Source organism: Homo sapiens, chromosome 5, assembly GCF_000001405.40.
Source record: "Homo sapiens chromosome 5, GRCh38.p14 Primary Assembly".
Lineage (NCBI taxonomy): Eukaryota > Metazoa > Chordata > Mammalia > Primates > Hominidae > Homo > Homo sapiens.
In genome coordinates this window covers 69,473,400-69,491,252 of record NC_000005.10, presented here as the reverse complement: position 1 = coordinate 69,491,252, position 17,853 = coordinate 69,473,400, and the positions used below count along the sequence as shown (strand labels likewise).

Below are 17,853 nucleotides of genomic sequence, written 5' to 3'. Positions count from 1 at the left end.
TCAGGTTAATCCCCTTAATGTTCCCTGTCAGATTACTGAAATCTCCAAACATTCCATTTGGTTTATAATTAAACAAGGGAACATTTCCTAATACTCTCAGATTTGTAAACACATGTCTATTATTTTATAATGTATTTTGACATGTTCTGAAGAGATCTTAGGAGTTTTTTTCCACTTTATAAAAGAGAGTTCACATACCATAAAATTCACCCTTTTAAAGGGCACGTACAATTCAGTGGGTTTTAGTATACTCACCAGATTGTACAACCATCACCACCATCTAATTCCATTTTAATCGCCCCCAAAAGAAACCCCATGCCCATTAATAGTCACTCCCCATTTCCCCTCTCCCCTCATCCCTCGGCAACCACTAATGTACTTTCTGTCTCTATTAATTTGCCTATTCTGGACATTTTATATGAATGGATAATACAATATGTGCCCTTTGTGTCTGTCTTCTTTCACTTAGCATAATATTTTAAAGGTTCATCCATGATGTAGTATGTATTGGTACTTCATTCCTTTTTATAACTGAATAATATTCCATTGTATCGATGTATCACATTTCGTTTAATCATTCATCTGTTGATGAACATTTGGGTTGTTTCTCCTTTGGGGATGTTATGAATAATGTTACTATGAACATTTGTGTACAAGTTTTTGTGTGGACATATGTTTTCGGTTCTCTTGGTAAATTAGGTTTTTAAATTAAACTTTTTATCATTTTAAGATAACTTATGCATATCATGTTATTTTTCTTATTCCCACCCTAAACCTAAACTCAAAGACATGTTGTGTTGGGTAGAAGGCTTTCATATTCTATTTGCTTTCCCAATTCATTCCTTCAACTATTTTCTGAGTGCCTAATCTGTACACACACGAGTGAACAAAACTCAAAAATCTCTGTGAAACTTACTTTCTAGTTAGTTCTGAGTTCATCCATATGGAATAATAGGATTCATTAATTGTATGAATTCTATTTTATTCGCTTGAGATTAATTTTCTAAACAACAACATCAAAAGAACGGTTAACTATTGTCCAATATTGTGTATATTTCATAGTTGAAAGTGTCTAGAAAGAAAATCCAGCCTTAAAACTTAAACACATCATTCTTCAATACCAAAACAAAATTTGTTGGATGTTAAATGATGCCATGCTCAATTTAATCATGTTACATAATCATAAATTATAGCAAAATTTAATTACTATATTTTTTACCAAATATTCCTTCTTGGCAACTCACAGTAGTATTGAGTAGTATCCACTATTGAATATTATTTGATGAAAATCCCCGTGACTCAGAGCAATGTAAATATTATTTTCAGAACCCCATGATTAGAAACTTGTTGACTTTACCTGCAGTCAAATGGATAAGATGAAAAGACAATTTGTTTCTCCTTTTCTATGTGTAAAAGAGAAACTTAAGAGCTCAGATTATGGTGTCAGAAATCTCAGTTCAAATTCCAGTGTTGCTACTTGGTAGCTGGGTAGGACTAAAGGAAATTAAACTATGTAAGGTTCATTTTTTTCCACCGTAAATTTGAGATGATAATAAACAATACTGTCTTTATAAGTCTGTTGGTGGGAATGTGGAGCATTCACCAAGACAGACTATATGCTGAGCCACGAAACAAGTCTCAATAAATTGAGCAAGCCATTGCTGTATCCTATATGCCTGAAATAGTTCCTGTCACATAGGAATTACATAACTATGTGTTGGATGAATGAATGAATGACTATAGCCCTGCTTCCCAAATCCAACATGCCTGTGGAGTCTTGTCCTCCTCTCAGATGGCCTCCTGCTATTGTGAAACCCGCACGTTCCTTAGTAGCATTTCAAGGCTTACATCTCTAGTACTAGGGTTTAGAGGAGAAAAGACGGGAGATTAACATAGTTCCACTGTTTCCACTCTGCCTTGCCTGCTTAGTAAATGAATTCAAAGACTGGTATGTGTCCAAGGCAACTCAGTTTGGAGTTGCTGAGGGCCTGGCCTGAAAGGCCTCTAGTTTCTCTGCCCAGTCATGAGGAGGGGGAGGCTTCTGGTCCACACAGGACAGTTTCCTTGGACAGGTGTATGGAAGAATTTATGGGGAAGCCACTAGGAAGACAATTTCTAAAAGGATGATTACACTAGATGAGTAAACCTTTATCTTCTCTATTCCTATGTGTTAAGCAAGATCCTCCTGGGAGGAATCCATATTTAAACAAAGAGACTCAGCACCTGAACAGGAACTTCAACAGGTGGAAGAATAATAATAGCACCATTTACTCAGGGAAAAACATGTTCTAAGTACTATGCTAAGTGTTTTTTTGGTTTTCTGTTTGTTTGTTTTGAAACAGAGTCTCCTCCGTAGCCCAGGCTGGAGTGCAATGGTGTGATCAGCTCTCTGCAACCTCCGCCTCCTGGGTTCAAATGATTCTCCTATGTCAGCCTCCTGAATAGTTGGGACTACAGGCACCTGCCACCACGCCTGGCTAATTTTTGTATTTTCAGTAGAGATGGGATTTCACCTTGTTGGTCAGGCTGGTCTCGAACTCCTGACCTCAGGTGATACTAACGCCTTGGCCTCTCAAAGCGCTAGGATTACAGAGGTGAGCCACCATGCCCGGCAGTTTTATGTTTTTTTTTATTTTTTTCTGGTTTTTGGGTTTTTTTTTTTTTTTTTTTTTTTTTTTGAGACGGAGTCTCGCTCCGTTGCCCAAGCTGGAGTGCAATGGCGCAATCTCAGCTCACTGCAACCTCTGCCTCCCAGGTTCAAGCGATTCTCCTGCCTCAGCCTCCTGAGTAGCTAGGATTACAGGTGCCCGCCACCACGCCCAGTTAATTTTTGCATTTTTAGTAGACACGGGGTTTCACTGTGTTGGTCAGGCTGGTCTCAAACTCCTGACCTCAAGCAATTCACCCGCCTCAGCCTCCAAAATGCTGGGATTACAGGCTTGAGCCACCGTGCCCGGCTGGGTTGTTTGTTTGTTTGTTTGTTTTTGAGATGGAGTTTCACTCTTGTTGCCCAGGCTGGAGTGCAATGGCGCGATCTTGGCTCACTGCAACCCCCACCTCCCAGGTTCGAGCGATTCTCCTGCCTCAGCTTCCCGAGTAAGTGGGATTACAAGCATGAGCCACCATGCCCAGCTAATTTTGTATTTTCAGTAGAGACGGGCTTTCTCCATGTTGGTCAGGCTGGTCTCAAACTCCTGACCTCAGGTGATCTGCCTGCCTCAGACTCCCAAAGTGCTGGGATTACAGGCGTGAGCCACCACGCCCGGCCCCGGCTGGGTTTTTATTTTTATTTTTTTGGTCTTTACAAGAACTTTATGATGTACTATTATTTTCCCCATTTTACACATAGGAAAACTAAAGCTCAGAAAGTATTGATCATTTACTCAAGTTGTCTACTAAGTTGTAGAGTCAGGATTCAAATACAGGTCATCTGATTCCTGAACCAATGTTCTGAACAGTTTTACTATATTTTAGGACTACTTTTTGTCTATAGGCAATATAGGCAATATTCTGTTTCTTCCCGAGTCCAAGTTACACGGCTGTTAGCCTTACAACAATTTATCAAGCTGTGCATATGTTTTATATACATTTTTGTAGGAATTTTGTATTTCATAATTTAAAAAAATTATTTTGAGTCACCTCTGTCACCCAGGCTGGAGTGTAGTAGCATGATCATGGCTCACTGCAGCCTCTATCTCCTGGGCTCAAGCGATCTTCCCACCTCAGCCTCCTGGGTAGCTGAGACTACAGGCACGCACCCACAACTGGCTGATTTTTGTTTTGTTTTGTTTTTAAATAAAGATGAGATCAGACCGGGTGCAGTGGCTCACGCCTGTAATCCCAGCACTTTGGGAGGCGGAGGCGGGTGGATCACTTGAGGTCAGGAGTTCCAGACCAGCTTGGCCAACATGGTGAAACCCCGTCTCTACTAAAAATACAAAAAACATTAGCCCAGCGTGGTGGAAGCACCTGTAATCCCAGTTACTTCGGAGGCTAGGGCAGGAGAATCGCTTGAAACCAGGAGGTGGAAACTGCAGTGAGTCGAGATAGCGCCACTGCACTCCAGCCTGGGTGACAGAGCGAGACTCTGTCTTAAAAAATATATAAATATAAATACAAATAAATAAACAGAAATGAGGTCTCTCAATGTTGCCCAGGCTGGTCTCAAATTCTTGGGCTCAAGCAGTCCTCCCATCTCGGCCTCCCAAAGTGCTGGGATTACGGGTGTTAGCCACCACACCCGGCCAAAATTTGCTAAGAATAGGGTTTAGAGACAGTCTTAGAAAATAGTTGGAGATCCACATCTAGGATTTTTGTTTTGTGAATAACATTTTTCAAATACCAGCAGAAAATACATTCATAGGATCAGAGTAAGTTGAGATCAGCATCTAAAGAGAGAGTAAATGGGTTTGGTGTGGGACAGAATATTGGCACAATTATAAGGATAATACAGAGAAAGAGATTTGGGACTGCTTTTTTTTAATTGTATCAGTCATCTATTGCAGTGGAAAACTGGCCTTGCAGGCTTTTTCAGGAACTAGCCTTCCTGAATCTTTTAAGCTCAAAAAAGGAAAGAGGAAAAAGTAAACATTAACCAAATATTGTCTTCGCTTACCTACTTTTAACTTCATGGGGCTCTTTACCTCCTGTGTCCCCAAACTGAAAAAGATAATAATAATTATCTCGTAATTTAGCATAAGGAATCCTAACCCTAGAAAAATCTCTTGAACTGGGTCAGTGTGAAACCAATACACTTTAAGCAGATCACAAATTTCTCTTGTTATTCTTTGGTTTTGAGGTACGGGACTCCTTTTATTCGATACAGGGGTTTCCAAATAGCAGCTTTTCTTGTTTTTTTGTTTTTGTTTTGTTTTTGTTTGAGACAGAGTGTCGGAGTCTCACTCTGTCGCCCAGGCTGGAGTGCAGTGGCACAGTTTCGGCTCACTGCAACCTCCACCTGCTGGGTTCAAGCGATTCTCCCACCTCAGCCTCCCAAGTAGCTGGGATTACAGACGCGCACCACCACGCCTGGCTAATTGTTGTATTTTTAGTAGAGATGGGGTTTCACCATGTTACCCAGGTTGGTCTTGAACTCCTGACCTCAAGTGATCTGCCCTCCTCAGCCTCCCAAAGTGCTGGGATTACAGGCGTGAGCCACTGCACCTGGCCCCATATGGCAGCTTTTCTGATTTTACTTGGAGTTTCTTTAGGATAAACTCAAGGAGCCTACAAGCAAAAACTCACTACAGTTCCTGAAATGTTGTTGTTGGCTGACACGGTACAGCGTAAGTGGGACATATGAGAATTGTATGTGAAAAGGAATATTTATTCAGTCAAGAAATATTTACCTCAGTACCTGCTGTATACCAGACCCTGTTCTAAGCCCTGGAAATAACAGTGGCCTCAAGACAGACAAGGTCCTTTATGGAAGTTTAGGGAGGAAATAGTTAGGAGAGGAAATACAACAAAGATGATGAAACTGAAAATAAACAAGATAATGATAAATGACTTGGAGAAACTAAACCAGCTAAGGGGACAGAGAAGGCTAGGAGAGGCAGGTGGAGGAAGAGCTGCCTTGTAGAGTGGTCACAGGTGGCTGCTCTGAAGAGGTGACATTTGAGCCAAGACTTTTAGTGAGAAGGAACCAGCCATGCAAAGATCTGTGACAAGAACATTCTAGGGCTAGAATCTAGGACCACTTTGGACATTCAAAGCAAAGGAAGGAAGAGGAAGGGGAGCATGGGGGAGATGAAACGCAAGGAAGGCAGAGGTCAGATCTTGGATGCTGTGCCATAAAGTGTCTGGGTTTCTTTTTCTTTCTCTTTGTTTTGAGGCAGGGTCTCACTTTCCCCTGGGCTGCGGTACAGTGGCACAGTCATGGCTCACTGCAGCCTCAATCTCCTGGGCTCAAGTGATCCCCTCTGCTCAGCCTCCTGAGTAGCTGGGACTACAGGTGCACGCCACCGCATCCGGCAAACTTTTTATTTTATTTATTTATTTATTTTGTAGAGACGGGTCTCACTTTGTTGCCCAGGCTGGTCTTGAACTCTTGGGCTCGAGCAATTCTCCCACCTCCGCATCCCAAAGTGCTGGGATTATAGGCATGAGCCACCGCACCCAGCCAACTGTCTGTTTTCTTCTAACTGCAACAGGAAGGCTTTGAAGGGTGATGAATTATGTTTGGAATGTTGTGAAATTCTGCATGTTAACCTAAGTATTTTCCTGTTTTTAGAATAATGTTTTGTAATGCTTGAGCATTTTATCTTTAAAGTTTGTGGCTTCTGAATAGAAAGGACTAAACTTGAGAAAGAGAGTCTGGGTGATCTGAAACCCAGTTGATAGGATCTGGAGAAATGCAGACGACTCCTATTCATCTTCCTACATGTATCTTAATTAGAAAGATTGGCCTTTGTGCCTGAGAGGTCTGGTGACAGTGCCAGGGGTGGAATGAGACATGGTAGGAGAAGCTCTACCATAATCGCATGATGTTTTAAAACGCTTTTTCTGTATTTTCTAAAATTTCTCAATGAATAGGCATCTATTATTTCCAACAATTAGGAAAAAAAACATTTTATTTTATTTTATTTATTTATTTTTGAGACAAGGTCTCACTCTGTTGCCCAGACTGGAGTGCAGTGGCACAATCTCGGCTCACTGCAACCTCCACCTCCCAGGTTCAAGCGATTCTCCTGCCTCAGCCTCCCTAGTAGCTGGGATTACAAATGCCAGCCACCACACCTGGCTAATTTTTTGTATTTTTAGTAGAGATGGGGTTTCACCATGTTGGCCAGGCTGGTCTCAAACTCCTGACCTCAAATGACCTACCTGCCTCAGCCTCCCAAAGTGCTGGGATTACAGGCATGAGCCATCATGCCTGGCCATATTTTAATTTTTTCCCTAACTTATACTGTGTTGAAAATTTCAAACCCATAGAAATGTTGACTGGGCATGGTGGCTCACACCTGTAATCCCAACACTTTGGGAGGCCGAGACGGGAAGATTGCTTGAGCCAAGAAATTTGAGATCAGCCTGGGCAATATAGGGAGACCCCGTCTCTACAAGAAGTTTAAAAATTAGCTGGGCCTGGTGTCACATCCCTATAGTCCCAGCTACTCAAAAACTGAGGTGGGAGGATCGCTTGATCGCCCGAGACAGAGGCAGCAGTGAGCTGCAATTGTGCCACTGCACTCCTGCCTGGGCAACAGAGCAAGACAATGTCTCAAAAAGAAACAAACAAACAAACAAAAGTTGAGAAATAGTACAATGAATTATATCCTTCACCTAAATTCACCAATCGTTAACACTGCCCACATTTGTTTTTTCTCTCACACATATACATAAAAAGTATACATAGTATGTTTTATTTTTTACATTTTTATTATTTATTTTGAGACCGGGTTATGATATTGGCTAATTTTTGTATTTTTGGTAGAGACAGGGTTTTGCCATGTTGCCCAAGCTGGTCTTGAACTCCTGGGCTCAAGCAATCTACCCACCTCGGCCTCACAAAGTGCTGGGATTACAGGCGTGAGCCACCGCTCCTGGCCCATGGTATACTTTTTTTGCCCAACCATTTATACTCTAACATTTATACTTTTTTGTTCAGCTTTCTAAAATTAACTTTTAGGTATAATAATACCTTACCCTAAATACTTCAGCATGTATCTCCTAAGAATCAAGACATACTTCTGTACAACTACCATATCATGAACACATCTCCAAGCAAACATTAATATAGATTATATTTACATTGTTCTAATTGTTCCAAAAATATCTTCTATATCTTCTATACATATATATATGTGTTCTTTTTTAAAATCCAGGAACCAATCAAGGATCATCCTCACATCTCACCATCATGCCTTTGTTTTTTCTTTTTTTGAGACTGGGTCTTGCTCTGTCGCCCAGGCTGGGATGCAGTGGCACAATCTCAGCTCACTGCAACCTCTGTCTCCCCGGTTCAAGCAATTCTTGCACCTCAGCCCCCTGAGGAGCTGGGACTACAGGCACCTGCCACCAGGTCCGGCTAATTTTTGTATTTTTAGTAGAGACAGGGTTTTACCATGTTGGCCTGACCTCATGGCTAGTCCCAAACTCCTGACGTCAAGTGATCTGCCCACCTCAACCTCCCAAAATGTAAGTCTCCTTAAATCTTGAACAGTTCCATTGCCATTTTTGTCTTTCATGACACTGCCATTTTTAAAGAATCTGGTCCAGTTGTCCTGTTGCATGTCTCACAACCAGGATTTGTATTTTCCTTCCTCATTATTAGATTTAAAGGAAACATTTTGGCAAAAATACTACACAGGTGATGTTGTGGACCTCATAGAGCATTACATCAGGAGGCTATCACTATCAAATTGTCCCAGGATGGGTGATGATAAGTTTGAATGCTTGGTTCAGGGTGTACTCTCCAGATCTCTCTTTTCTCTTTGTAATTTGTAAGTATTCCATGGAGCCGTGCTTTGATTCTGTGTGACTCTCTTATTCCCCAACAACCTTTCATCCAATGAAAGCTTTCAGTGTCCATTGCTGATCCATCATTGCATTGGTTGTTGCATTATGGTTATTTTCCAATACTATCAACTATTAACATCAATACTATTTAATACTATCAGGGGAATTTTTAAAAATTTTTAAGTGTAGGCCGGGCATGGTGGCTCACGCCTGTAATCCCAGCACTTTGGGAGGCCGAGGCAGGTGGATCACGAGGTCAGGAGATTGAGACCATCCTGGCTAACATGGTGAAACCCCGTCTCTACTAAAAATACAAAAATTAGCCAGGCGTGGTGGCGCGTGCCTGTAGTCCCAGCTACTCAGGAGGCTGAGGCAGGAGAATCGCTTGAGCCCAGGAGGCGGAGGCTGCAGTGAGCCGAGATCGCACCCCTGCACTCCAGCCTGGGCAACAGAGTGAGACTGTCTCAAAAAAAAAATTGTAAGTGTGAGTAAAAGAAGTTGGAACAGACTCTAAATCATTAAAATATTGACTTTTCATGACATAATTTTCCTTCTTGTGATATATGTTCTTTCTATTTTGCCTTTAATGAGTCAACCAATGCCCTCCCCTCCATAATAGATGTGTTACTTTTTTATTTACTAAGGACAGTAGATGATACAGGAAGAAATCAAAGCATACTTTTTGTTTTTTTGTTTTTTAAGACAGAGTCTTGCTCAGTTGCCCAGGCTGGAGCGCAGTGCCGCAATCATAGCTCACTGCAACCTTGAAATCCTAAGCTCAAGCAATCCTCCCATCTCACCATGTCCAGCTAAGTTTTAAAATGTTTTGTAGAGATGAGGTCTCCCTAAGTTGCCCAGGCTGGTCTCAAACTCCTGGGCTCAAGCAGTCCTCTCTCCTCAGTCTCCCAAAGCACTGGGATTACAGGTGTGAGCCATCACAACGGGCTTAAAGCATATGTTTTTGTACAGCACTCTTCCTTCACATAGTCTAGGACAGGGGTCCCCAACTCCCAGGCCACGGACCATGGCCTCTTAGGAATCGAGCCTCTCACCTCCTGCCATGGACTGGCACAGTGGAAATAGCTAATTCAGGAACCGGGCTATACAGCAGGATGTAAGTGGCTGGCGAGTGTGTTAGAGATCAGCAGCAGCATTAGATTCTCATAGAATCATGAACCCTATGGTGAACTGGGGATGCAAAGGATCTAGGTTGCAGCTTCTTCTGATAATCTAATGCCTGATGATATGTCACTTTCTCCCATCACCCCCATTTGGGACCATCTAGTTGTAGGAAAATAAGCTCAGGGCTCTCACTGATTCTATATTATCGTGAATTAAATAATTATTTCACTAAATATAAAAATGTAATAATAATACGAATAAAGTGCACAATAAATGTAATGCACTGGAATCATCCTGAAACCATCCCCCTCTGCCCTGATCCATGGAAGAATTATCTTCCACGAAACCGATTCCTAGGCCAAAAAGGTTGGGGACCACTCGTCTAGAAGATGAGGCATACACTCATAAAAATTAAAAATAAAATGAAAAGGCCGGGTGTGGTGGCTCACGCCTGGTAATCTCAGCACTTTGGGATGCCAAGGCGGAGAGATCTCGAGGTCATGAGATCAAGACCATCCTGGCTAACACGGTGAAACCCCGTCTCTACTAAAAATACAAAAAAATTAGCCGGGCATGGTGGCAAGCGCCTGTAGTCCCAGCTCCTCGGGACGCTGAGGCAGGAGAATGGTGTGAACCTGGGAGGTGGAGCTTGCAGTGAGCCGAGATCATGCCACTGCCCTCCAGCCTGGGTGACAGAGCGAAACTCCATCTAAAAAAAATAAATAAATAAAATAAAAGGACACATAAGTGGCAGATGAGTGGCAGAGATAAGGCCACTCTCTCTTCTTTTTTTTTTTTTTTTTTTTTTTGAGATGGAGTCGCTCTGTCACCCAGGCGCGATCTCGGCTCACTGCAACCTCCGCCTCCCGGGTTCAAACAATTCTCCTGCCTCAGCCTCTGGAGTAACTGGAATTACAGGCGCCCACCACTACGCCCAGCTAATTTTTGTACTTTTAGTAGAGACGGGATTTCACCATGTTGGCCAGGCTGGTCCCGAACTCCTGACCTCAGGTGCTCCGCCCGCCTCGGCCTCCCAAAGTGCTGGGATTACAGGCGTGAGCCACCGCACCCGGCACACTCTCTGTTCTAAGTGGAACTGCTCACCTGGCTGCCCATCTGTCCCTCCCACTCTAGTCTCTGTGACTTGCCTTTTGAGCACACTAATTCCTCTACCTGGAACATTCTCTTCCCAACTTTGCATCTGGAGGTTCATATTCTAAAATATTGCCAGTGCTTCAAGACTGAGCTGAGATACTATCTCTTTCATTTATTATTATTTTTTAAAAGCTCCTTAAGGCCGGGCGCGGTGGTTCACACCTGTAATCCCAGCATTTTGGGAGGCCGAGGCAGGCAGATCACCTGAGGTCAGGAGTTTGAGACCAGCCTGGCCAACACAGTAAAACCCCGTCTCTACTAAAAATACAAAAACTAGTCTGGTGTGGTGGCACACGTCTGTTATCCCAGCTACTCAGGAGGCTGTGAGGCAGGAGAATGGCTCAGACCCAGGAGGCGGATGTTGCAGTGAACCCGATATCACGCCATTGCACTCCAGCCTGGGCAACAGAGCAAGACTCCATCTCAAAAACAAACAAACAAACAAAAAAACTGGGCCAGGCCTGGTGGCTTATGCCTGTAATCCCAGCACTTTGGGAGACCGAGGTGGGCAGATCAGGAGGTCAGGAGATCGAGACCATCCTGGCTAACATGGTGAAACCCCATCTCTACTAAAAATACAAAAAATTAGCTGGGCGTGGTGGCATGCACCTATAGTCCCAGCTACTAGGGAGGCTGAGGCAGGAGAATCACTTGAACCCAGGAGGCAGAGGTCACAGTGAGCCGAGATCACGCCACTGCACTCCAGCCTGGGTGACAGAGCAAGACTCCTTCTCAAAACAACAACAACAACAACAAAACACATAAAAAAACAAAAAAAAACTCCTTTAATTTCTCTTTGGGAGGCCAAAGTGGGCAGACTGCTTGAGTCCAGGAGTTGGAGACCAACCCGGGCAATGTGGCAAAACCCGGTCTCTACAAAAAAATTAGCCAGGCATGGTGGTGGGTGCCTGTGGTCCCAGCTACTCAAGAGGGCTGCTGAGGTGGGAGGATAACCTGAGCCTGGGGAGGTCAAGGCTGTGGTAAGCCATGATGGTGCCACTGCACTCCAGAGCCTGGGCAACAGAGTGAGACCCTGCCTCAAAAAAAAAAAAAAAAAAAAAAAAGCATCACAGCACAGAGTGAGCACCTTCACCTTCTTCCCTTCATCAGTATAGTGGGTAAGGGAGCCAGGGTATCAAAAGATTCTACTTTGATTCCCAAATTCAGTATTTACCAGCTCTATGACACTTTAAATAAATAACTTAAACTTCTGAGGCTTAATTTCCTTATTTATAAAGTGGAGGTGATGCCAGGCCCAGTGGTGCCTATGTGGGGGTACCGGTAGTCCCATCTACTAGGAAGGCTGAGTGAGGCAGGAGGATCGCTTGAGCCTAGGCTGATTGGGTGTCCTCACTAAGTTCTGCATCAATATGGTGATGTTCTGGGAGTGGGGACCACTAGGTTGCCTAAGGAGGGGTGAACTGGCCCAGGTTGGAAACGGACCAGCTGAAAACTCCCATGCTAATCAGTAGTGGTATATCCTGTGCCAGTCATCAGTAGTGGTATGTCCTGTGCCAATCATCAGTAGTGGTATAGTGCCTGTGAATAGCCACTGCACTCCAGCCTGAGCAATATAATGAGACCCCCAATAAAAAAGTTTTTAAATGAAAATTAAATGGAAGTGATGGTAATACCCACCTTGCAAGGGTTGTATGTAAAATGGCCTTATTCCTGGCACAAAATAAATATTATTCGATGGATATTTAGTAGCTGCCTATGCTTCCTATATCAGGATGATTTCAGCTCAATGCTACAAAAAACAAGTTTAAAGTAGTTTAAATAATAAGGCAATGTATTGTCTCACATAAATGGAAGTACAGAGTGAATACAAACATAAAATTTGGTGAGGTAAGATTTAGTGAGGTAGCTGGGCAAGGTGGCTTACGTCTGTAATCCCAGCACTTTGGGAGGCCAAGGCGGGTGGATCACGAGGTCAGGAGTTCAAGACCAGCCTGGCCAAGATGGTGAAGCCTCATCTCTACTAAAACTACAAAATTAGCCAGGCGTGGTGGCAGGCGCCTGTAATCTCAGTTATTTGGAAGGCTGAGGCAGAAGAACTGCTTGAACCCAGGTAGCAGAGGTTGTAGTGAGCCAAGATTGCACCACTGCACTTCAGCCTGGGCGATAAGAGTGAGACTCTGTCTCAAAAAAAAAAAAAGGATTTAGTGAGGTAAGATGAAAGGGGTAAGGGAAGCTGGAAGGTATTCAATAGTATTCGATACTCATGCACCAAGCACTAGGGTAAGTGATGTGGACATAAGGACCTCACAGTTCGGCATAGGAGGCAGGTACCTAAATAAATAAGTCTATGATGGCATGGGTGTGGGGGTCAGAAAGACATGGGTTTTTGAATCCTGATTTTTTGCTAGCTGTATACTTTGGGGCACTTTATTTTTTTTTTCCCAGTTTGAGATGGAGTCTTGCTCTGTCGCCCAGGCTGGAGTGCACTGGCGCAGTCTCGGCTTACTGCAACCGCCGCCTCCCAGGTTCAAGTGATTGTCCTGCCTCAGCCTCCTGAGTAGCTGGCATTACAGGCATGTGCCCCTACGCCTGTCTAATTTTTGTATTTTTAGTGGAGACAGGGTTTCACCATGTTGGCCAGGCTGGTCTCGAACTCCTGACCTCATGATCTGCCTGCCTCAGCCTCCCAAAGTGCTGGGATTAAGACATGAGCCACTGCACCGGGCCTGGGGCACGTTTTAAACATCTATGAAACTTAGTTTCCCTGTCTATGAAATGAAGATAATATTTAAGATATTGCAGTGACAACTGTATAAAACATCTGTGTTTGTGACACATAGACGGTACTTAATAAGTGGCATCTTCTATTTATTTTTTTACAGTGTACAATGTCTATGTAAGCACAACAAGAAAGCAACTTAACTGCCTGCAGCATCAGACCAAGTTCCTGGATCATAAGTTTGAAAGCAGCTTCTAGATGACGCTTGTGGATATTTGGAATAATATCTACTAATTTCTGTTAAGCAGCTATGTTTCAACTCCACTTCAATAAAAACAGCCAAATTTCTCTCCTGGAAATTCTTAAAACTCAAAGAAACTCTGATTCTTTCAAGTGTTAGTATGATGACCTAATTTTGTGCCTAACTCCTCTTATATAGAAAGGAACAAATATTTGATATTCATCTTCATTGTTTTCTGTGGGTTGGTTTCCTGTTATTTTTTCCCTTTGTCTAGGGGAAAGGAGTAAAGAAAACTTCCTTGTTAAACTGCTACTATAAGGAACACGTTTGAAGAAATAAACACAGAAAGCAAGTGAGTTTCTCATTAATATCATTAGCAGCATAATTCAACTCTTAAGTACTTAGGGATAGTACTGAAGCATTGAATACTATTCATTTACTTAGCTAAAGTAACAGAAGTGCAAAGTCCCAGAAGGAGGGGCAGAGGAATCAGATGGAGGGGCACCCTCAGAGAGAATAAAACCTAGGTGGAGGGACCCACACACGATTGAAGTAATACAAGTTAGAAAGTGATTTAACTTCAGGGGGTCAAAATATTTAAATTGTTATTATTATTATTATTATTTTTAAAGACAGAAGTCCCGCTCTGTGGCCCAGGCTGGAGTAGAGTGGCGCAATCTTGGTTCATTGCAACCTCCGCCTCCCGGGTTCAAGCAATTCTTCTGCCTCAGCCTCCCGAGTAGCTGGGATTACAGGCCATGCCCGGCTAATTTTTTTGTACTTTTAGTAGAGACGGGGTTTTGCCATGTTGGCCAGGCTGGTCTTGAACTCCTGACCTCAGGTGAACTGCCAGCCTCAGCCTCCTAAAGTGCTGGGACTACAGGCATGAGCCACCACACCTGGCTGATTTAAATTGTTTTTGAAGTATATACAGCATAGGGGGAAGCCACTTCTTAGAGAAGAAGAGAAATTAAAGGAGTTTTTTTTTTTTTTTTTTTTGAGATGGAGTCTTGCTCTGTCACCCAGGCTGGAGTGCAGTGGCGTGATCTCGGCTCACTGTGACCTCTGCCTCCTGGGTTCAAGTGAGTCTCCTGCCTCAGCCTCCCTAGTAGCTGGGACTACAGGCACATGCCACCACGCCCAGCTAATTTTTTGTATTTTTAGTAGAGATGGGTTTCACCATGTTAGCCAGGATGGTCTCGATCTCCTGACCTCGTGATCCACCCACCTCGGCCTCCCAAAGTGCTGGGATTACAGGCGTGAGCCACCGCGCCCAGCCTAGTTTTTTTTTTTTTTTTTGAGATGGAGTCTTGCTCTGTTGCCCAGGCTGGAGTGCAATGGCGTGATATCGGGTTCACTGCAACATCCGCCTCCTGGGTCTGAGCCATTCTCCTGCCTCAGCCTCCTGAGTAGCTGGGATAACAGACGTGTGCCACCACACCAGACTAGTTTTTGTATTTTTAGTAGAGACGGGGTTTTACTGTGTTGGCCAGGCTGGTCTCAAACTCCTGACCTCAGGTGATCTGCCTGCCTCGGCCTCCCAAAATGCTGGGATTACAGGTGTGAGCCACCGCGCCCGGCCTTAAGGAGCTTTTAAAAAATAATAATAAATGAAAGAGATAGTATCTCAGCTCAGTCTTGAAGCACTGGCAATATTTTAGAATATGAACCTCCAGATGCAAAGTTGGGAAGAGAATGTTCCAGGTAGAGGAATTAGTGTGCTCAAAAGGCAAGTCACAGAGACTAGAGTGGGAGGGACAGATGGGCAGCCAGGTGAGCAGTTCCACTTAGAACAGAGAGTGTGCCGGGTGCGGTGGCTCACGCCTGTAATCCCAGCACTTTGGGAGGCCGAGGCGGGCGGAGCACCTGAGGTCAGGAGTTCGGGACCAGCCTGGCCAACATGGTGAAATCCCGTCTCTACTAAAAGTACAAAAATTAGCTGGGCGTAGTGGTGGGCGCCTGTAATTCCAGTTACTCCAGAGGCTGAGGCAGGAGAATTGTTTGAACCCGGGAGGCGGAGGTTGCAGTGAGCCGAGATCACGCCTGGGTGACAGAGCGAGACTCCATCTCAAAAAAAAAAAAAAAGAAGAGAGAGTGGCCTTATCTCTGCCACTCATCTGCCACTTATGTGTCCTTTTATTTTATTTTATTTTTGAGACGGAGTCTTGCTCTGTCGCCCAGGCTGGAGGGCAGTGGCATGATCTCGGCTCACTGCAAGCTCCACCTCCCCGGTTCCCAAAGTGCTGGGATTACAGGTGTAAGCTACTACACCTGACCTATGACATTCTTTTGCTTAAGGAAAAACACGCAGGAAGTCATAAGACTATTACTTGCCAAGATTATCTTCTTATGTCTCTTTTACTAAACAGACATTTCCATATACCTTCACTGACATAGACCAAAACATCCATGTCCAAAATGGCCAAGCTAATCACAGTGGTTTCATTAGGATAGGCTAGGTTATGCTGAGGGAACAAATCTTGATGTCTTAGAACAACAAATCTTGACGTCTTAGAACAACAAATCTTGATGTCTTAGAACAACAAAACTTTCTTTCTTTCTCATGGCCATGTCCAGAGAGAGTTGGCTAGGGTATCTGCTTCATAATTTTTGTCACTCTTGGACCCAGGTTGTTAGAGAAAACATTTCAAATATTACCAGGCATACACACACACACACACACACACACACACACACACATCTAATATACATATATACATAAACATATATACACATATATACATATACATATATACACATATATACACACACACACACATATATATATACACACACACACATATATCTATATCTGAAAGGAGAAGAAAGCTCTGGAGGGTCTCACACTGGAAACTCAGTGCTTTGACTCAGATGTGATGCAAATCACTTCCATTCACAAAAAATTGCCAGAACTAGACAGATGGCCCACCCAGCCACAGTCTTCCATGTGAAGGGAAGGGAAGGAAAACCGGCTATCTCATCTGTGAACAGCAGTAAAAACCACATAATTGGTCATACATAGTAGAATATGCCTGAATTAATACTCATTCTTGAAATAAATCATAGTGACTGAGCATGATAGCTCACGCCTGTAATGCCAGAATTTTGAGAGGCATAGGCCAGAGGATCTCTTGAGCCCAAAAGTTTGAGACCAGCCTAGGCAACATAGCAAGAACCAGTCTCTATGAAAAATAAAAATAAAAAATTTAGCCAAGTGTAGTGGTGCATGCCTGTAGTCCTAGCTACTCAAAAGGCTGAGGTAGGAGGATCCCCTGAGCCCAGGAGTTTGGGGTTACAGGTAGCTATGATCATGACACTGCACTACAGCCTGGGTGACAGAGTGAGACCCTGTCTTAAAATGAAAAAAAAAAAAATCTCATAGTTATTTAAAACTTATAGTTTGCAAATTTCATGGAGCCCTTCGAAACACTTTACAAATGTATTTTTACAAACATTATGAAGGAAACCAAGATGTTTCACCCCAAAACATATTTATTTCCTTGACATAGTTCAACATGTCTATTCAAAAGGGCTAGAAATAGAATAGCTGAAAGGTTGTTTGTTGTGGAGGAGATTTACATCTATAAAAATAAAGTCTACATCAGTACAGTTAGGTTTTCTCTGACGGCCTTCCCTTCTCTGACCTAAAACAAGTTAACTGAGAGTCCGACAGTTTTAAAGATCTGAAAAAAACCTTCACCATCTATTCTCCGTGAAGGTTGCTACCTGTGAGGTTTCGCCAGGCCTCCTCTTCTCCCTCTCCCATAACCTGTTTTGCCACTATCCAAACCCCATTCTTTACGGAACCTCAAGATGATACATAAACTTCCACACCCTATTGGGAGCTTGGAAGTAATCAATCTATGTGCACATTAATACATGTATATGCCTTTTCTCCAATTAATCTCCTTTTATGAGTTTTCTTTTTTTCCTTTTCTTTCTGTCACCTAGGCAGAGGCGCCATCTCAGCTCACTGCAACCTCCACCTCCTGGGTTCAATAAATCCTCCCGCTTCAGCCTCCCAAGTGGCTGGGACTACAGGTGTGTGCCACCACACTTGGCTAATTTTTGTAGGAGTTTAACTATGTTGGCCAGGCTGGTCTCAAACTCCTGACCTCAGGTGATCCTCCCACCTTGGCCTCCCAAAGTGCTGGGATTACAAGTGTGAGCCACCACGCCTGGCTATGAGTTATTGTTC

The 17,853-nt window shown here is 43.4% G+C and overlaps 1 long non-coding RNA gene and 1 pseudogene across 1 annotated transcript; both read left to right on the top strand.

Moving 5' to 3' along the window:
• On the top strand, positions 5,641 to 13,781 carry LOC101928924 (uncharacterized). Its single transcript, NR_134279.1, has 2 exons — positions 5,641 to 5,770; positions 13,578 to 13,781. It is a non-coding gene; the product is annotated as an uncharacterized LOC101928924 (long non-coding RNA).
• Positions 11,988 to 12,256, top strand: RN7SL616P (RNA, 7SL, cytoplasmic 616, pseudogene; annotated as a pseudogene).
• Positions 13,782 to 17,853: the final 4,072 nt, after the last annotated feature.